At 43.0% G+C, this 21,770-nt stretch overlaps 1 protein-coding gene across 6 annotated transcripts in view; it reads left to right on the top strand.

The window, feature by feature from the left end:
* The window catches only part of BPIFC (BPI fold containing family C), a 50,602-nt gene extending 30,097 nt beyond the window's left edge, over window positions 1-20,505 (top strand). For 5 of the 6 annotated variants that reach the window (NM_174932.3, XM_047441302.1, XM_011530090.2 and 2 more), the window contains 7 exons: window positions 578-631; window positions 1,807-1,977; window positions 2,936-3,003; window positions 14,946-14,988; window positions 17,202-17,265; window positions 18,359-18,435; window positions 19,925-20,505. In NM_174932.3, the coding sequence (NP_777592.1) occupies window positions 578-631; window positions 1,807-1,977; window positions 2,936-3,003; window positions 14,946-14,988; window positions 17,202-17,265; window positions 18,359-18,435; window positions 19,925-20,047 (600 nt within the window). In that variant the 3' untranslated portion in view covers window positions 20,048-20,505. The remainder of the gene's footprint in view (window positions 1-577; window positions 632-1,806; window positions 1,978-2,935; window positions 3,004-14,945; window positions 14,989-17,201; window positions 17,266-18,358; window positions 18,436-19,924) is intronic. The other variant, XM_017028740.2, reaches the window with a different exon arrangement.
* Window positions 20,506-21,770: the final 1,265 nt, after the last annotated feature.

Below are 21,770 nucleotides of genomic sequence, written 5' to 3'. Positions count from 1 at the left end.
ATATATAAATGAAGAATATGTACACAGAGTGTAATATATATATAAAGACTATGTACATATAGAGTGTAATATATAAATGAAGAATATGTACACATAGATTGTAATATATATAAATAAAGAATATGTACACATTAGATTGTAATATACATAAATAAAGAATATGTACACATAGATAGATTGTAATATATATATAAAGAATATGTACACATAGATAGGTTGTAATATATAAAAATAAAGAATATGTACATATAGATATATATATATATAACTAAAACTTTGTTGTACTACATACGTACAATTCATGTGTAAACATTCTACAGTTATTAACAATAGACTGTATTGTTCCCAGAGTTAAAAGAAATATAACATCCTGTGTGACCTTGGGCAAGTCACTTTACTTCTCTGAGCCTCGGATTCCCTATGATTGGGCTATAAAATGATAGGTCACCTTTAAACACTGAATATTTTATGGTGTAACAGCTTCACAATTCGTCAAATTATAGGGAACACTACATTTTCCCTGAAAAGACAATCCACGTAAAATCCTAACAGTGACATAATGGGCTTTATTTTCCAGATTTCCAACCATTTTGTTCAAAACTCTCAAGGCCTTGGCAACGTGCTCTCCCGGGTAAGTGCTCAGGGTTTGAGTCTTGATAGTGTATTTGGCTCCATTGCAATTACTTCTGGAAGACTTGTGGGTTCTACGTATTCCTTTTTGGATAAGTCCCTCTGTCTATTATTGGGAGTTTTTTCTCGTAATCGAATATCTACAAATATTTACTGAACAGTACAGTTTAAAGTGCAATTAACATACAAGTGAGAGTATAATTGTAAGTTCACAAAATAAATCACCGTGCCTTCCACAATATTCCATCATACTTGAAATAATTAGTTTAAATAAAGGATTTATTAGTGGAAATGAAGGATTCAATTCTTAAATGAAGGATTAGTGCCCACACTTGTAACTGTAGTAAAAAGCAACTGTTAATATTGTGCCTTCGTAGCACACTAAGTATTGAACATAATGAACCTACGGGCTAGGGATTGCCCTTGAGGACAAAGAGATGTTCATGTAGCATCCTGGTTCTAGAGCAAGGATCTTGAGTCAGATAGACCTAGATTTGTTTTTGTTTGTTTGTTTTTTGAGACAGGGTCTCGCTCTGTCATCCAGGCTGGAGTGCAGTGGCACGATCTTGGCTCACTGCAATATCCGCCTCCCCTGCTCAAGTGATCCTCCCAACTCAGCCTCCCAAGTAGCTGGGACTACAGGCACAAGCCACTATGCCCAGCTAATTTTTCTATTTTTTGTAGAGGCAGGATTTCTCCATGTTGCCCTGGCTGGTTTCAAACTCCTGGCTTCAAGTGATCCACCGATCTCAGCCTCCCAACGTGCTAGGATTACAGGCATGAGCCACTGTGCCCAGCCCAGACCTAGATTTGAATCCCAATTCTACCACTTATTCCCCTAGAACCTTGAGAACATCATTTAACCTCTGTAAGACTCACGTTCTCCACTATGAAACAGGGATGCTGATAGAATCTGCCTCACAGGGATTTTCTGAAGATTAAATGTGATAATATATAAAGCCCCTGGCACAGTGGGTAGTATCAAGTATTATGTTCAGTAACTGCCAACTGTTATCATCGTTTGATTTTTGTGTGTAATTATGATTATTAAAGAGCTTTTTTTCTATTCTAACTGCACAATGTAAGATTTAGTCACCACAGGCCATCCTAACCTTGTGATCTCCCTTCACCAACTCACGCCTCACAATCTTTATTTCTTTCTCGGAATGTGGGCAGATTGCAGAGATCTACATCTTGTCCCAGCCCTTCATGGTGAGGATCATGGCCACAGAGCCTCCCATAATCAATCTACAACCAGGCAATTTCACCCTGGACATCCCTGCCTCCATCATGATGCTCACCCAACCCAAGAACTCCACAGTTGAAACCATCGTTTCCATGGACTTCGTAAGTCTGGGGAGACAGTGGAGCAGCCTGTAGATGCCAATCCTGCTCCTGCTGTGGACTGTTGGCCAGCAGCTTTTAAACGTTTGAAGAGGGTGGGGATGCTACATTGATTAAGAGTGAGGATGGAGGCTGGACGTGATGGCTCATGCCTATAATTCCAGTGTCTTGGGAGGCTGAAGCAGGAAGATTGCTTGAGGCCAGGAGTTAGAGACCAGCCTGGGTAACATAGCAAGACCTCATCTCTCCAAAAAAAAAAAAATTGTTTGAATTAGCCAGGTGTGGTGGTGTTGTGCACCTGTCATCCTAGCTACTCAGGAGGCTGAGGTGGAAGTGTTGCTCTGAACCCAGGAGTTTGAGGCTACAGTGAGCTATGATTGCACCACTGCACTCCAGTCTGGGCAACAGGGTAAGACCCTGTCTCAGTGAGGTCAGAGTTGAGGGAAGGGTATGTGTGGCAGGATGGGAGGTAAGCACTCACACTCTCATACATTGTAAAATCTCTCCAGTCTCTACTTCATGCACGCTCTTCCCACCACCTACCTCAGTTACATGGACAGCTGGAATTCTCTCTTTTTTTTTAATCTAAATAAGTCAATCAAGGTAGAATTCATTTTTACTTGAGCAAATGAAGGCCAAATGCAATCTGATAGAAGGACATAATAAACCTAACAAAAATGTCATACGCACATAGGCACATACACACACATACATAAAGAAGAGCGATTAGGAGAAAAAAAAAATTCAAAGGAGATCATCAAACAAAAAGTCTTTGCAGGTAGCTTCCCTAACTACAAGACAGGATTTTCAGAGGTCTGTATTTCCAATGTCTTTTAGACTTCCAATGTCTTTACACTAAGGGGGAATGTTGGGCTTATAATGTTTCAACTATTGGAAATTATACTGATGGCCAAAATTGACACTCACTCGTCTTAATAATAAATGCTTTTATTGTCTATAGGTTGCTAGTACCAGTGTTGGCCTGGTTATTTTGGGACAAAGACTGGTCTGCTCCTTGTCTCTGAACAGGTAAGATCAATCAATTTGACTGTTGGGGCACCTTAGTAATAAGTGAGTCAACTGATCAGAGACAAAGTGACCATTAAGAAAACAAGTGATCTGTAATCTCAGCTACTCAGGAGGCTGAGGCAGGAGAATCGCTTGAACCCGGGAGGCAGAGGTTGCAGTAAGCCAAGATCACACCACTGCACTCCAGCCTGGGTGACAGTGAGACTCTGTCTCAAAAAAAAAAAAAAAGGGACGTTAACCATTGTGTGAACATGAGTCAGTTAAGCACCTCTCCTGTAATGGGCCAGATAACTTTAAAGTATGTACTTTACTAAAAATGGTACTGTCAAGCTTTTCTTTTTTCCATTATAGTAACATAAAAATAAAATAGGGAACAAAATAATTATAAATATAATTTTGTAATATGGTCAGGTGCCATCTTACAGGCTCTCACCTGTAATCCCAGCAATTTGGGAGTGGGAGGATTGCTTGAGGCCAGGAGTTTGAGCCCAGCCTGGGCAACAAAGTGAGACCTCATCTCTACAAAAGCTTTTTTAAAAATTAGCTAGGCGTGGTGTGCACCGCTGTAATCCCAACTACTCAGGAAGCTGAGAGGGAAGAATTGCTTGAGCCCAGGAGTTTGAGATTACAGTGAGCTATGATCGTGCCACTGCACTCCAACCTGAGCAATAGAATGAGACCTTGTCTCTCAAAAAAATATATCTCTCTCACATATTTTATATTATATATTTTATATACATATACAAATTAAATACATAAAATATTACATATGTAATAAATATATTTTTATATTTATATAAAACATTTTATAAAATATATTATGTTTTATATATTATATTTATTTCCTATATTTTATTTTTATTTATTTTATATAAACATACAAAGAATATATATATAATTCTGTAATAGAAGTGTACATTCTAATGGTACAGCAATATAAACTTCAGTTCTTCTTTATCAAATTCATAGAGCATGCTAGTGAGGAAAGAGCATAAAGCTTTGGGAGTTAAGGAACCAAGTTTCCAGTCCTTATTCACAGGCTCTATGACTGTGATCCAGTCTGTTAACCTCCTTGAGCCTCAGTTTCCTTATCTGCAAATAAGGAAGTTGAACTGGATCATGCCTAAGGTACCTTCAGACTCTGACCATCTGATCCCATTACTAGAACAGAGAAGTTAACAAGATCTTCCCCATGGCCTGTCTGACTGTCAAATGCATGTGACACACGGTGAAAGGCCATGTGCAGGCCACAGACGCAGATCATTGACCACTAAGTGCCATTCGGCAGAACCGTCTGCAAAGCCCATTTTCCTCAGCCCTATAAAGCTGGTAGTTGAAGTCATCCATCAGACTACCTGGGGGGAGAATTTACAGAAAGATTAGACGGCATAGACTAAATGTATGGAAGAAAAGGAAGCAATGAAACAGACGTAAGCAGAGTCAGAAAAGATCTGAGAAACCAGCAGAGGGGGAGTAAATCAATCACAAGTCAACGTGGTAGTTATGAAGTCTATTGTGGAAACATGGAAAATGGCCAGGCGCGGTCGCTCACACCTGTAATCCCAGCACTTTGGGAGGACGAGACAAGTAGATGATGAGGTCAGGAGTTCGAGACCAGCCTGGCCAACATAGTGAAACCCCATCTCTACTAAAAATACAAAAATTAGCCGGGCATGGTAGCATGTGCCTGTAATCCCAGCTACTCGGGAGCCTGAGACAGAAGAATTGCTTGAAGCCGGGAGGTGGAGGTTGTGGTGAGCAGAGATTGCGCCACTGCACTCCAGCCTGGGCAACAGAGCGGGACTTCATGAAAAAAAAAAAAAAAAAAAAAAAAAAACAAAGGCCAGTTGCCATGGCTCACGCCTGTAATCCCAGCACTTTGGGAGGCTGAGGCGAGCGGATCATGAGGTCAGGAGATCGAGACCATCCTGGCTAACATGGTGAAACCCCGTCTCTACTGAAAATGCAAAAAATTAGCTGGGCGTGGTGGCGGGCGCCTGTAGCTCCAGCTGCTTGGGAGGCTGAGGCAAGACAATGGCGTGAACTCGGGAGGCCGAGCTTGCAGTGAGCCGAGATGGCGCCACTGCACTCCAGCCTGGGGGACAGAGCGAGACTCCATCTCAGAAAAAAAAAAGAAAAAGAAAAAAAGAAAAGAAACATGGAAAATGTTTTCAAGAAAATTATGTTAAATGGAAAAAACAGAATACAAAACTGCACAAACACAACAGCTGTTAATTGTATAAAATAGCTTTGCATCTGGAAGAGGAAAATAGCTTTGCATCCGGAAGAGGAAAATAGCTTTGCATCTGGACAAGGAAGTGAATCACAAAACTGAAAATGAAGAGTTGTATTAGGATATGGGATTATGAGAGGGTTCTTTTTTCATTAAAATTTTCTTTGTAAGTATATTGTTTTTCCAACAAAGGGAATATAATTTTGTTTTTTTTTGAGATGGAGTGTTACTCTGTCACCCAGGCTGGAGTGCAGGGGTGCGATCTCGGCTCACTACAACCTCCGCCTCCCGGGTTCAAGTGATTCTCCTGCCTCAGCCCGCCAAGTAGCTGGGATTACAGGCGCCTGCCACCACACCTGGCTAATTTTTGTATTTTTTAGTAGAGATGGGGTTTCACCATGTTGGCCAGGCTGGTCTCAAACTCCTGACCTCAGGCGATCTGGGGCCTCGGCCTCCCAAAGTGCTGGGATTACAGGCGTGAGCCACCATGCCCAGAAATACAATGTTTTGTTTGTTTGTTTGTTTGTTTAAAGTAGTATGGTTTCCCAGAAAGAAAAGGTTTTACGAAGGTTTACTCGCATTTACCAAGCCCTTCAAAGCAGTCCTGACTTCTTCATTAGCTTCCTTTAGGCACAATAGGCACAGTGCCTAGAGCCACAATACTTTAAAAGCCCATGAGAGGCCGGGCAGGGTGGCACACACCTGTAATCCCAGCACTTTGGGAGGCCAAGGTGAATGGATTGCCTGAGCCCAAGAAGTCGAGGCTGCAGTGAGCTATGATCTCAATCTGGGCGACAGAGCAAGACCCTGTCCAAAAGCACACACACACACACACACGCGCGCGCACACACACACACACACACGTTTTAATGTATTTTAAAATAATAATTTTTAAAAATGAATACAATTTAGACTTGATCATACTTATCTTTATATCAAATAGTTATAAAATATAATTTTCATTTTTTTTAACAGAAGAAAGGTCCCCAAAGACAAAAGTGCCTCAGGCCTCCAGAAGTCATGAGGTGACCCCATTTCCAGGGAATCAGGCTGATGAAACTCTGAACCATGAAGAGTGATCTTTATCTGGCAGTTCTTTTTTGTTTTGTTTTGTTCTGTTTTGTTTTGAGACAGAATCTCGCTCTGTCACCCAGGCTGGAGTGCAGTGGCACGATCTGGGCTTACTGCAACCTCTGCCTCCCAGGTTCAAGTGATTCTCCTGCCTCAGCCTCCTGAGCAGGTGGGACTACAGGCGCACGCCACCACGCCCAGCTAATTTTTGTAGTTTTAGTAGAGACGGGGTTTCACCATGTTGGCCAGGATGGTCTTGATCTTTTGACCTCGTGATCAACCCACCTTGGCCTCCCAAAGTGCTGGGATTACAGGTGTGATATTTGGCAGTTCTAATACAGAGGATGAAAGCCAGAGAGCATGAGGGTGAGGGGGGAAGGAACCAAAGGTGAGAAATTGGCAGCATCTGAGATCGGCCACGAGCGGAAGGAAGGAGAGAATCTGGATAGCATTGCCTGAGCATCGGGACCGTGATGCTCAGTCTGTTGGGAAACAAAGAGGAAAGAACCAGGAGGAAAGGAAAGGCTGGAAATGGGGAGTGATGCGGGGCGGGGCACAGGGGCAGGGCTGCTAACTGAGGCAGAAGGTTCCTAGAGAAGGTAGAAACAACACTTGCATCTGAGCAGGTGTCTGGTTTACTGGCAGGATCTCAAGGAAGAATTTAATCATGATTCAACTTCAGGGTTGTGGCAAGAAGGTGCAAAAGACTTTAAGAAGCATGGAGACCAGGTTCACTTTTCTGCTTAAATCAAACTGAGCCTTATCTCTAATGTTTCTATAATACTAGTAAGCAACAGCACGTTCAATGGCTGTTATGTTTATTTATGGGAGTAATAGAAAAAACTGTTTTAAGCCGATAAATTTACATCATCCCGGAAATGTGTGAATTCATTCTCTTGGCTTCCTACAGTCCACAGAGTTCTTTGACCTCATGAACATGAACCCTGAAATTAGGACCTCTGGCTTGTTGTCTGTTGCCCAGCAGTCTCCTGGAAATTCTCCGCTGGGCAGACTTCTGGTGCTCTGATGCCTTAGCTGGGTCTGAGCAGGGCTGGCTACATAATTTGCAGGGCCCACTGCAAAATGAAAATGCAGAGCCTCTTTTCAAAAGGATTAAGAATTTCTTTTTTCTTTCTTTCTTTTTTTTTTTTCAGACAGAGTCTTGCTCTGTTGCCAGGGCTGGAGTGCAGTGGCACGATCTTGGTTCACTGGAGCTTCTGCACCCCGGGTTCCAGTGATCCTCCTGCCTCAGCCTCCTGGGTAGCTGGGATTACAGGCGTGTGCCACCACACATGGCTGATTTTTGTATTTTTAGTAGAGACGGGGTTTCGCCATGTTGGCCAGGCTGGTCTCGAACTCCTGACCTCAGGTGATCCACCCGCCTCGGCCTCCCAAAGTGCTGGGATTACAGGCGTGAGCCACCGTGCCTGGTCAAGAATTTTAAGATAGAGATGGCAAGGCATTAAACCAAGCACAGGGGGCTTCTAAGCACAAGTGAGGGTGTCTCCTGCATGGGGTGTTATAGCAAACCTCAGGCAGTGAGCAGGCTGGGGGCAAGGCAGGTGGGCTGGGCCTCACTCAGGTTTAAAGCAGCCAAACCAGGAGGCAAGACTTTGCAGAGGAGCCAAGGCTGTGTTGAAATGACAGCCCTGGGCTCTGGCAGTAGGATCCCTAGCCCTGCCTCCCATGCAGGCTGCCCCAGCTGGCTCCTCCACTCCTGGGCTCCCCAGGCTTTTCAAGATGAGCTGGTTTGGTCTTGGGTGATATCAGAGAGATGCAGCAGGAAAAGGATCAAGTGGGTGGAGATCAGTGGAACATCCCTGAGAAGAACCAGGGAACACGGGGGCTCCAAATTACTCTCCCCAGAACAACATGGCCTCTCTAACTATCCCCTGCCTGAATGTGCCTCTTCCTGGAGCTGCTCGGGGCTGGCTGCATAGACAGCAAATACAGAAATCAGAGACAAACCCCGTGTTGGTGGTCTAGACAGACTGTAGGATCACAGGCTTTGGAGTCAGACTAGCTGGTCTGGTTCTGATCCCAGTGCTGCCACTAATTAGCTCTGGCATCTCAGGCGAGTTTCTTAACCTCTCTTGGACTCCATTTCCTCCTCTGTAAAATGGTGTAATAAAGACTACTTCAGGAGAAGGTTGTGAGAAGTATGAGAGTTAATACAGGTAAAGTGTGTGGTTGCCATTCAATAGCTCTGTGATCTTGGGTGTAAGTTATTTAATCTCCATAAAGCATAAAACGGGAATAATAGTACCTACCTCCAGGACCATTCATTTAATCTATTGACCATTATTGTGCACTGTTCCAGGCCCTGGAGACACGGAGTTGTAAGGTTTAAATGAAATGACAGAGGCACCGGGCTTGGCACGGGACCTAATAGACGGTAAAGGCCCAATAATAAAGAATAGTCATGAACTGTACCAAAAAAAGACTATTTCTTAGCTGTTGGCTTTGACTATGATTTCAAATTTAGAGATAGCCTCAGCCAGGACAAGGAGGTGCTCAATCGTACAAGATCATTTCCAGAGTCCCCTGATTCAGAATACACTTCGCTCCCCTGTATCCTGCCCATGGATAGCTAAGAAATAGTCCTTTTTTGTATAATTCATGGCTATTGTTTATTATTGGATCTTTGTCATCTACTAGGTCCTGTGCCAAGCCCAACACCTCTATTATTTCATTTTAAATCTTACAACTCTGTGTCTCCAGGGCCTGGCACAGTGCTCAATAAATGTCAGTAGATTAAATGAACGGTCCTAGAGGTAGGTACTATTATCCCCATTTTACAGTTTGTAGAGATTAAATAACTTACTGAAGGTCACAGAGCTATTGAATGGCTGAGCCAGAACTTGAACCTGGGTGAGTCCGCTTTCAAAGCAGTGAGTATTTACTTACCACAGTATACTGCCTTTGATGTAGTGAAGAGCTTTGACTTAGAAAATAAGGCAAGGCCAGGCGTGGTGGCTCACGCCTATAATCTCAGCACTTTGGGAGGCCGAGGCAGGTGAATCATCTGAGGTCAGGAGTTCGAGACCAGCCTGGCCAACATGGTGAAACTCCATCTCTACTAATAATACAAAAATTAGCTGGGCATGGTGGTGCATGCCTGTAATCCCAGCTACTCTGGAGGCTGAGGCAGGAGAATCGCTTGAATGCAGGAAGCGGAGGTTGCAGTGAGCCGAGATCACACCACTGCACTCTAGCCTGGGCGACAAGAGCAAAACTCCGTCTCAAAAAAAAAGGAAGAAGAAGAAGAAGAAGAAGAAGAAGAAGAAGAGGAAGAAGAAGAGGAAGAAGAAGAGGAAGAAGAAGAGGAAGAAGAAGAGGAAGAAGAAGAGGAAGAAGAAGAAGAAGAAGAAGAAGAAGAAGAAGAAGAAGAAGAAGAAGAGAAGAAGAAGAAGAGGAGGAGGAGGAGGAGGAGGAGGAGGAGAAGAAGAAGAAGAAGAAGAAGAAGAAAGAAAATAACACTTAAGATTTAGGAAATAAATACCTTTATACCCTTGCCTGGAAGAGGAAACCCATAAGCATGGAGTCACGCTAAGTTGAAACAGGCAGCATGCCCTTTTTCAATATTCAGCATTGATAAAAGAAAGAGAAAACACTGGAACTGGTTGTGCTGAAATAGAAAAAAACACACAGCACTTTTGTCACCGCATCAAGGAATCAAGGGGAGAAAATGGTGAAGAAAGTAAAAAACTAGCAATTCTAATAATACACTTGAACTCTTTGAGCATGTCTAGTTAAGAGCACAGTCTCTGGAGTCAGGCATATCTGGATTTGAATTCTACCTCTGCCACTTGCTACCTAGTGACCTTAAGCAAGTTACTTAACCTCGTTAAGTATCAGTTTCCTCATTAGCAAAACAGAACACCCCTCCATAGGGTTGTTGTATGGGTGGATGAGATAATGTATGTAAATCACTTAGCACAACAGTCAGCATATAGTCATTGATCCAGAAATATTTGTTCCTAGTAGTACTAGTATTTCATTCTTTTTCCCCATTCTAAGATCAAATTTTGACCAAATAACAGGGAGAAACTGATCCCAAGAGACATGACAAGTCAGGATGGTTTTTAAAGCTGTGGAGTTTTAAACCAGACTCACTGCTCTATTTACAATTGAGAGTTGTTCCAAACATACTTCTCTTTGGAGGCAACCTCAGTACAGTTTGGCCCACATAGTAGACATATTTTAGATTACTTCAGAGGCCAAGTTAAATGACACTTTCCCTTTTTTGGTCTTCATCCAGATCACTTAATTCTAACCCTCTTTTCTTAATCCCATGCAAAGCTCAAGGCAATCAGATGTACGTTACTGTTGAGCCATCTATAACTTAGGAGGTTTTTTTGTTTTTTTTTTGACATTGCATTGATTGAGACTTTGGACACTCCAAATTGAACTCCACCATCAACACACATCCACAACACACACACACACACACACACACACACACCCACACCCTACAACTCCTCCCAAGCAACATAGCGAGAGAATGCAAATATAGCTGACTACAAGCAGATGGAATCACTACCTAACTCTACTCCTCAAGCTTGGGCATATAAACAATTCCCAATGATGGACAAGTCAGTGGAGCTCAGACTTGGCACCTGGGCTGACCCCCCCAACTCCACCCTTCCTCTGAACTACTCTTGAAGCCATGGCAGAAGAATGCCACAGTGGGGTAGCCCCTGCCAGAGGAGGAAACCCCAAATGGAAGCTTCTTCCAGAATTTCCAGGCTGCAGGAAACAATGAAATTCAAACATTGGATAACTCTTACTCATCAAAAGGGTCCTTTAATAGTGGAATGGGTTCAACACATTCTTCCCTTTAAAACTTTTCATCATTGGATTAAATCCACCGTCTGAGGTTTTCAAGCTCTTCATCCACTGGTCCTACTTCTCAAGCCGGCCAACCTTATCTTCCTAAGCTCACTAAAATGAACATTCTGCTTTAGACTGGCTCACCTTCAAAGTGACCCCAATTCCAACAAACACTCCCCAACCCATGTCCTTCATCCGCTCATTTATCCACACATCCATTCAGTAAGAATTTACTGAGAACCTATTATGTGCTTTGCACTGTTTTTAACACAGAAGGACAATGGTTTCTATTTTCCCAGTCCACAGCCTGGTGGGAGAAACAGTACTGGGTGCCAAGGACATGCTAGAGATGTGTACAGAGTCTTCTCTCAAAGGGAAACTTGTTTTCCCCCCATGATATGCCCCATATCACATACACATGCATGCTCACACACACACATACACACACACAACTCTAGCCTACGCTGGTTTCTTCATCTTTTCGCACTCTCTTTTTTTTTTCAAAACGTAGTCTTGCTCTGTCGCCCAGACTGAAATGCAGCGGTATGATCTTGGCTCACTGCAACCCCTGCCTCCCAGTTTTAAGCAATTCTCCTGCCTCTGCCTCCCGAGTAGCTGGGGATTACTGGCACGTGCCACCATGCCTGGCTAATTTTTGTAATTTTAGTAGAGATGGGGTTTTGCTATGTTGGCCAGGCTGGTCTCGAACTCCTGACTTCAGGTGATCCACCCGTCTCAGCCTCCCAAAGTGCTGGGATTACAGGTGTGAGCCACCGCGCCCAGCTTCACACCCTTTTTAGAGTCTCTGCAGCAAGTCTGTATGGTGTGTAAACCCATGAAGAAGCACCTGAGTATACCTTGCTTTGTGTTGTTCTCTACCTTCTACAAACGACTTCTCTCCATCCCTCATAATTATAGGTAGAGGTTAAATTCTTCACATTGCCTCGCACATTCCTGAGCACAGAATGAGCACCTGGGTAACCTGTTGGCCTGCTGTTCTTTTCTCCATGCTGCAGCCAGAGTGATCTTTATAAAACACAGACATCATCTCCTTTCTTAAAAAACCTTCATTGGATTTCTTGCTCTGAGGATAAAAAATGAAAATCGTAACACAGCCAGAGGCACTGAGCCTAGTCAATCCTGTCTGCCTCTCGCATCGCCCTGCTGTGCTCTCCCAGCTCTCAGTTCCCTCCGTGGGGCTTTTGCAACCCCTGCCTGGAACCCTCCCCACTCCGTTCCCCATTCTGCCTTTTGAATCTTATTCATCCTTCATATTTCAGCTCAAGCAGCCCTCCCCTGGAAACCTTCCTACATCTACCAAATGAAATCAAGTTCCTCTTTGTATTTTGACTCCACGAAATTGTTTCTTTCCTTAAGAGCATTTATCTCAATTGTAATTAAACCTTAATTAGTGGGATGATTTGATTAATGATTGCCACCCCACTAGGTGGTAAGCTACATGAGAACAGTGGTTGTGTCTAGTTTTGCTCACAAGGCTGCTATCTCTAGCACCTGTCCCAGTGCTGACACATAATAAATATTTGCTGGATGACCCAATCAATGAATAAGTGAACATTAAGTACCTCTGTACTCAATCCTAGGAATACAAGAATTTTGATCAGGAGAGTATCTCTATCAGACATGCCTGTAACGTAGCTTCCCCTGGGGATGGTGTAGAAGATGGATTGGAAAGGGTCAATAGTGGAAACAGGGAGATTTGTTAGAAGGCTGATGCAGAAGTAGGGCTCTAGACCTGGGCAAAAGTGAGCCATAGAAAGCTAAGAGGAAAAGCAAGATACGAAAAAGAGAGCTCTGGGATGGGCATCAGGAGATCTGAGTCCCAGTAACAAATCTGCCGTTAATATTTCTCCTCTTTGACCTTCAGTTTCTCCCTCTGCAAAATGAAGGAGTCTTCTCTATTCATTACTATTTCTTCATAGTATCATTATTATTGCATAGAAAAATCAACTGTGTATATTGGGAGGACTACTTATGGATCAGCTCTTGGCAAAATTGGGAAACAGACAACGTTGACCTTGAGTTTTCTTATGAAAATTCCCATAAAATATCAAGCAACAGGACACGCTGTCACTCAGCCTTACCAAGCTGGGAGAGGGGTCAGGGAGGAGGACTCCCTTCTACTTGGACCTACAGCAAGTGCTCTGTTGATATTTGAAAAAGAACATCAAGGACATTATGTGCTGTTATAACTGTTAGCATTTCTCTTCCTAATAAAAATGGCTCATATTCAGAGTGATAAGGATATGCTAGGCACAGTTCTAAGCATTTTATGTGCATCATTTCATTCAATTTTCACTACAGCCCTGCGAGGCAGGTATTGTTCTTTTTTAATTGTATTGTTTAATGGACATATCGTAATTTTACATTCATGGAGTACCTAGTGATGTTTCAATGTGTATCAATGTATAGTGATCAGATCAAGGCAATTAGCGTGTCTATTATCTCAAACATTTGTCATTTATTTGTGTTGAGGCTGTTCTATCTTCCCTCTAGCTATTTGAAACTACACAATATATTATTGTTAACTATAGTCATTTCACATATTCTTATTCATATTTCATAGTTGAGAAAATTAAGATCCAGAGAGATTAAGTAAATCTACAGAGTTAAGAAGAGGCAGAAATGGGGTTACTAACAATTATACTGTACCTTTCACATCAGATAGCTTTCTTAGCTAATGCTTCCCTTATCTGCAACGATTGAACAGCTAAAAAAATGGTGTGAGTGATGTGGCTTTCTGATGGGTGTGGCCTAGACTGGTCATAGAATTTAGTGTCAAGTAGACTGGGATTATAAAGGCTCAGGGAAGTTACAAGGCTGAGGCTGAGTTCAGAGCCAGAAACCTGAAAACTATTTTTTTTTTTTTTTTTTGAGACGGAGTCTTGCTCTGTCACCCAGGCTGGAGTGCAGTGGCGCGATCTCTGCTCACTGCAAGCTGTGCCTCCCGGGTTCACACCATTCTCCTGCCTCAGCCTCCCGAGTAGCTGGGACTAGAGGTGCCCACCACCATGTCCTGCTAATTTTTTGTATTTTTTAGTAGAGATGGGGTTTCACCGTGTTAGCCGGGATGGTCTCGATCTCCTGACCTCATGATCCGCCCGCCTCGGCCTCCCAAAGTGCTGGGATTACAGGCTTGAGCCACCATGCCCGGCCAAAACTGTTTCTTAAGATTGTTCTACATTCCAAGTTGCCAACATTAAGTTCCGTGTAGCAAACGCCCTTGGGGAACCCACCCTGGTTACAAATCCAAGCCCTAAACTATTCCTGCTCTGCTTCTTAAGCAGCAAAATATAGGGGTAGAAGATGTAATAGAACTCGATGTCTTCCCAGTTTTATTTGTGTGTGTGTGTTTTATTTTTATCTGTTTTTTTTTTTTTTTTTTTTTGACAGGGTCTCACTCTGATACCCAGGCTGGAGTGCAGTGGCATGATCTTGGCTCACTGTAGCCTCCACCTCCCAGGTTCAAGCAATTCTCCTGCTTCAGCCTTCCAAGTAGCTGGGACTACAGGCACATGTCACCATGCCTGGCTAATTTTTGCATTTTTTTAGTAGAGTCAGGGTTTCACCATGTTGGCCAGGCTGGTCTCAAATTCCTGACCTCAAGTTATCTGCCTGCCTTGGCCTCCCAAAATGCTGGGATTACAGGCGTGGGCCACCATGCCCAGCCTTGTGTGTTTTTTTTTAAATAGTGACTTTTGAACTGAAAATATCCTTTTACTTTTTGGTTTCTTTCTACTAAGGCTGTTGTTTTCAAATCCTTTAAACTTTTCTTGTTTTCTTTTAGATTCCGCCTTGCTTTGCCAGAGTCCAATCGCAGCAACATTGAGGTAGGAATCTGAGCTCTTGGGGTTACCAAGCACTGGAAGAACGAGGATTCTCCTACTATATATAATAGCGAATTAATTGTTTTCTGTGACTTGGAGTCCTTGATTCCTCCATAATTGTAGGACTTAACTTTGAAATTCTTTATGTAGCTACTCATCAATTGAGCCCATTAACCATTCACGAGAGGAACTCTACAGTTTACTTTTATTTATGCAGAAATACTTTTTTAAAAACTCAAAAGACTGTTGAGACATTGTATAATGCTAGAAAAACAGGCATTCTCAGGGAATGCCTGTTTTCTCAATAAAATAATCCTCTAGAGTTATAGACGAGACATATAGAGTTACATATCCCAAAGGAATATGTAAATTATTAAGCCATGATTAGGTTTACTCTTTGAACACTTTCTGCCCATCTCCTAAAATTAGGTCAATGCTGCTTGTATGGATACCTTTGTGGGAGGGGGGTTCCCAGCCTTGTGACTTTCTGATTGGAAGATGATACCCCAACATGTGACTTGGAATCCCCCTTCCCTCAAGCTTCAGGAAGATCAGCTAAATCACTATCTCATACATTCATGGATGGCACTATCATAGAGAAGTTAAGTGGGTTTCGGTGTCAGAATGCCCGGGTAGAATAGTGCCTAGTTCATGGGCAGCACTACATAATGTTAATTATTAGTATTAACGGTATTCATTTACTGATAAATACTTATTGAGCCCGGAACTGTTCTAGACAAAACAGATAAAATCTCTACCCTCAAGGCGCTTACATTCTAAAGCAGTGGTTCTCAACTAGTGATTCTCAGCTAGGGACATCTGGCAATGTCTGAAGACATTTTTGGTTGTCACAGCCTGAGATGGAAGGAGACATACTAATGACACTTGGTGGGTAGAGGCCAGGGATGCTGCTACACATTCACAGTGCACAGGACAGCTCCCAACAGCAAAGAATGATCCATCCCAAAACGTCAAGAGTGCCACTCCTGGGAAACCCTGTTCCAGAGTGTGTGTGACTGTGCTTATGTGTGTGTGACAGGCTGAGAGTAGCATACAACAAACAAACAAATATAGTGTTTACTAAAAGAAATACTATAGAGAAAAAGAAATCAGGATAGGCAGTGCAAGTAGTTGGGAGCTGAAATTACAACCTTGGGGTTGTTGAAAGGATTAGCTGAGATTATATATGAAATGCACTTAGCACACTGACCACATAGAAGGCATTAAATGAACAGTGGCCACTATTTTCATATTCGCAGTAACTGTTTCAGTTATTGTCACTTCTGTGTTTTCATATTTACGGTAATTATTTCAGTTATTGTCATTTTTACGTCAAGAGGCAGTGTAGCATAATAGTTTCATACATAAACTCTGAGGTCCCAACTGCAAAAGTGAATTCCCATTGTCCATTTTCACAATGGTGATAAAGACATACCCACTGCACTCCAGCCTGGGCGACAGAGTGAGCCTCCATCTCAAAAAAAAAATTTTTAAATAAAAAAAAAAGAAAAATTGGGTGTTCTGGGGATGGCAATAGCTTTGGAGCGTGATGTAACACAAGGGAACTCCTGTGGCCGAGATTCCCAGTAAGTAAAGGGAAGATTGCTAATTGGGAAATCTAATAGTTGTTCTTGACTGTCTTGGTAGATACCTGAGCTGCCACATTTGCTGGCACCATGTAGTCCCTCTGAATTTGCTATCACCAAAATCCAGTGTAGAGGGAAGCAGAAGTGTCTGTCCTCAAGAGGGAAAAAGTTAGAAAACCCTGTAATATGATTTTCTACAAAGCTATTATCCCTCTGAAAAGATCCTAGTTATTGCTTTCTAGCCTAAGAAGTTCTGGGAAAGTACACATCCAAACCAGGCATGGTACTTTCGAAGCACCCATGATTGGCCAGGTGTGGTGGCTCCCACCTGTAATCCTAGCACTTTGGAAGGTCAAGATTGGAGGTTTGCTTGAGCCCAGGACTTTGAGACTGGGCAACATAGTGAGACTCTGTCCCTAAAAAAAATTTTTTTAACTTAGCCAGGTGTAGTGGTGCACACTTGTAGTCCCAGCTGCTTGAGAGGCTGAGGCAGGAAGATTGCTTGAGCCCAGGAGTTCGAGGCTGGAGAGAGCCATGATCACACTACTGCACTCCAGCCTGGGTAACAAAGCAAAAAAAAAAAAAAAAAGCCCGATCTGCCAATTGATTCTATTTCCTCTTTTATTTTAGGTCTTGAGGTTTGAAAATATTCTATCGTCCATTCTTCACTTTGGAGTCCTCCCACTGGCCAATGGTAAGGGATTATTGGAAAACAATGTGACTGTAACATCGGCTAACATTTAACATCTGCATCGGCTGCACTGGGGATTGTTTGGGACTTTCCACCCTGAAGCTTGTACTTCTATCATGTTATCATGAATCCAGGCCAGCGTCAGAATTTGCAAAGTTTGTACCATCAATGCTGTGGTGGCACATTTAGTTATTCTAGGTCCAAGCCCTGTTAGCAATTCTATTTGCAAACTCAGCAAGATCGGCCAACTCTGGTTGAGTTAAGGAGATTGAAACCATGCTCCTTAGGCAGTAAAGAATCTCCTTCCAGTCAACCGGAAACGAGATTATTTTCCCTACGGGATATCTCCGTGGTTCTTATGCCAGGACCACTAACTGGATAGACACAGTTTTCATGAATGACAATCCTGGGCCTTCTCCTTGCACAGCAGTTGTTCATAAACTGCAGCATCTGGAGTCTGGCCCAGTATATTAGACACCAAAATGTTCTCAAGACCCACTAATTATGTATTTTCAAAATATACATCGGGTAGGCTAAAAATGGACAGCATTTCTCTACTGTCCAAATGAACATAATTGTAGGTGCATTTTTTATTAATCACAGATTAATGAGCAATTCTTCCAGGAAAATTCTAGGGACATATCAGAGAGAATGCAAACATGGAACCGGGGAGAATGAAAAGATCAACTATTAAAAAGCTGTCCATGCCGGGCTCAGTGGCTCACGCCTGTAATCCCAGCACTTTGGGAGGCCAAGGCAGGCGAATCACCTGAGGTCAGGAGTTCGAGACACGCCTGGCCAACATGGTGAAACCCTGTCTCTACTAAAAATACAAAAAAACTTAGCCAGGCATGGTGGTGGGCATCTGTAATCTCAGCTACTCGGGAGGCTGAGGCAGGAGAATCACCTGTACCTGGGAGGTGGAGGTTGCAGTGAGCCAAGATCACACCATTACATTCCAGCCTGGGCAACAAGAGCAAAACTCCATCTCAAAAAAAAAAAAAAAAAGCAAGCTGTCAGTCAGTCTCTTACTAAAAAGCTTGCTAAAACCTCTGTGCTTGTGCCCAATTGTTTTACGTCTTGTTCTATATTTTAGCAAAATTGCAGCAAGGATTTCCTCTGTCCAATCCACACAAATTCTTATTCGTCAATTCAGATATTGAAGTTCTTGAGGTAAGAATGCAAATCTCACCTCTTAACTGACCCATTTCTTTTTATAGTAGACTAAGCCTCCTCCTGTTTTGCTTGTTTTTGTTGTTGTTGTTTGTTTTTGTCCTGCTTTGCTTTTTCCCAGACCAGGGAATCTTATAAACATGTTTAGTTCTTAAATCACAATTAACAGAAAATATTTAGAGTTGAGTCTAAAAATCAGACCAAGATCAATTTCACTTAGCAGCCAAATCCACAGTATAAGAAGATGCCCCTTAGCACGCTTTATTTTACTTATTCCACAAGACAATCTGTAAGGCTGGAATTATTAGTCCCATTTTACAGATGAGGAAAGGAGGACTCAGAGAGAAGTGGCTCAGGCAGCTGGAAAGGAGCATGGCTGGGACAGGACTGGCTCTTCTGATTCTCCCAGTCAGAAGACTTTCCCCTGAACCAAAGGCACACACCTTTGAGTTCAGGGATCGAATCGTTTTCCGGCTCATCATTATGCATTCACTTCAGAATACCTTTTTTTCTTTCTTTCTTTTTGGCATTGTTGTTTGTTTGGGGAGGTGGAAATATGTTTCTAAAGAAATTCTCCAATCCTGTACAGTCCAGGGGTCCCCAACACCCAGGCCCAGGACCTGTCCCGGTCTGTGGCCTGTTAGGAACCTGGTTGCACAGCTGGAGGTGAGCGGCCGAGGAGTGAACATTACTGCCTGAGCTCCACCTCCTACCAGATCAGCAGCAACATTAGATTCTCATAGGAGCACAAACCCTATTGTGAACTGCCTGTGCAAGGGATTTAGGTTGCACGCTCCTTATGAGAATCTAACTAATGCCTGATGATCTGAGGTGGAACAGTTTCATCCCGAAACCATCCCCCAATCCCAGTCAGTGGAAAAATTGTCTTCCATGAAACCAGTCGCTAATGCCAAAAAGGCTGGGGACCGCTGCCCTACACTACCGTGCATGCTCTCCCACTTCCCTGCTTCTCCCCCACTGCTTCTACAATGGCTAAGTCACATCGGGTGACAGTACTCCAAAATGGCCTTTCCTTTCTCTGGGGCATTCACAAAGTAGGGCCAGGGTAGAGGAGGGCCTGACTCTCTGTAGGACCTGGTAAAGAAACCATCTCTCAGCTGGGCATGGTGGCTCATGCTTGTAATCCTAGCACTTTGGGAGGCTGAGGTGGTCAGGAGTTCGAGACCAGCCTGGCCAAAATGGTGAAACCCTGTCTCTACTAAAAATACAAAAATTAGCCGGGTGTGGTGGCACACACCTGTAGTCCCAGCTGCTTGGGAGACTGAGGCACGAGAATCACTTGAAACCGAGGGACGGAGCTTGCAGTGAGCCAAGATCGCACCACCACACTCCAGCCTGGGCGACAGCCTTTGAGACTCCATCTCAAAATTAAAATAATAAAAAAAAGAAGCCATCTCTTCCTCACGCCTCAGACAAACCCAGACATGCCCAAGTTTTGACGTTATCTTCATTGTCACATCCTTTCCAGGGTTTCCTTTTGATTTCCACCGACCTGAAGTATGAAACATCCTCAAAGCAGCAGCCAAGTTTCCACGTATGGGAAGGTCTGAACCTGATAAGCAGACAGTGGAGGGGGAAGTCAGCCCCTTGATTGCCGGTTTGCAATTCACCCCAGGAAGTAAATGGTCCTTAATCCTACAACTACTGTAAACCCAGAAGGGAAAGACAGTACACACTGGAATTGTAAAGCCCTTGTGAATTGCTTAGGCAGAAAGTTTTCTTTCTTAAGCCTTCAGGAACCCAGAATAAGGCAGACTCTGTTAAAGGGATAAATAGAGGTGTCTGAATGTGAGTGTATGCATGCTGCGTGTGTCTGTGTTTATGTTTGTTTGTTTGTTTGGGGCAAGAAAGATTCTAGGACAAGAGCTAGGCATGTACTTCTGACCAGGTGGGTAAGCAACTCTAAGTCTGTATTTGTATTGGTCATTCTCAGTGGAAATCCCTTAGGCCCTCTAGTGGTTTTCCCCTACCTGCATATTGGTTTTCATGTTTTATATTCACTGTTACTATCTTCTGTGTTTAATTAAAATTGTTTTCTATCAACTTCAATCTTGGTTTTTTTATTTGAGAAATGGCCTGCCCTGAATTTTTAAAAAATAAAATAAGAGGCCAGCCACAGTAGGCCATGCCTGTAATCCCAGCACTTTAGGAGGCCAAGGTGGGCGGATCATGAGGTCAAGAGGTCGAGACTATCCTGGCCAACATGGTGAAACCCAGTCTCTACTAAAAATACAAAAATTAACTGGGAGTGGTGGCACGCACCTGTAGTCCCAGCTGCTTGGGAGGCTGAGGCAGGAGAATCGCTTGAACCTGGGAGGCGGAGGTTGCAGTGAGCCGAGATGGCACCACTGCACTCCAGCCTGGCGACAGAGCAAGACTCCAACTCAAAAAAATAATAAAATAAAATAAGACATAGAAAAGGGAAGAGACCTAAGGTTGCACAGACATCAAGGCTTGATTTTAAAAGAGAATTCTTTACCTCTGAAATCTTTCCAAGAAGGAACAGGGTAACCACAGGAAACTCTAAAAGTTGTATCACTTCAAGCTTTGGGATTTTTCACCCACCACAGATTCAATGAAATGGCAGTGCAGAGTACTAAACTCAGACAATTCATAACTGAGAATGATATTAATGTGTCAGAGCACCTAATCAATGGGGAGAAATTGGGGCAGAAGAGAAGAAAAGCGGAACCAGTGTAGATAATGCAACAAATGAATGGAAACTACATACTGTTTTTTGCAGCACTTACAGTCTAGTGGGGGAATGGAAAGAGGAGAGCTGTTTATAGAGTGCTTGCCGTGTGCCAAGCCCCGTGCTGATTACCCCTCCAGTGTCACTTCATTTAGCCTTCTACTCAAGAAAGAATTATGATCCCATTTTAGAGATGACGAAACAGAGATAAGAGGGGTTAATCACACCAAGTCAGTAAATGGCACAGATAGAAATTGAATCTTGCGTCTTTCTAATCCCAAAGTTGCAGTTGTTGACATGAGGCCGAACTGGAAACTGAAATCACTTAAAGCTCACTTACCACTATGAACAAGAGACACGGCGTATAAAAGCATGATTAAAGAGGTCTTGATCATCAAATGCGGCTAGACTGGGGAGTTTTGGCGATCCATAAGGGCTGTGATTTGATCATTTTGTAGTATATGTCTGGCCACAATAGATGCACCCACAAGTGTTTGTCAGAATAAATGATAAGCTGCCATGCTTCATTCTTTGGGATGCTCCTTTCTGACCAAAAAAGTTATTTGGTGTATATCCAGATTCATTCTGAAACATAAATGTTCAGCTATGGTATTTACTCAAA

The sequence above is a fragment of the Homo sapiens genome, chromosome 22 (assembly GCF_000001405.40).
Source record: "Homo sapiens chromosome 22, GRCh38.p14 Primary Assembly".
NCBI lineage: Eukaryota > Metazoa > Chordata > Mammalia > Primates > Hominidae > Homo > Homo sapiens.
The sequence above is the reverse complement of the archived record's forward strand: the minus strand, read 5'-3'. Positions and strand labels throughout refer to the sequence as shown.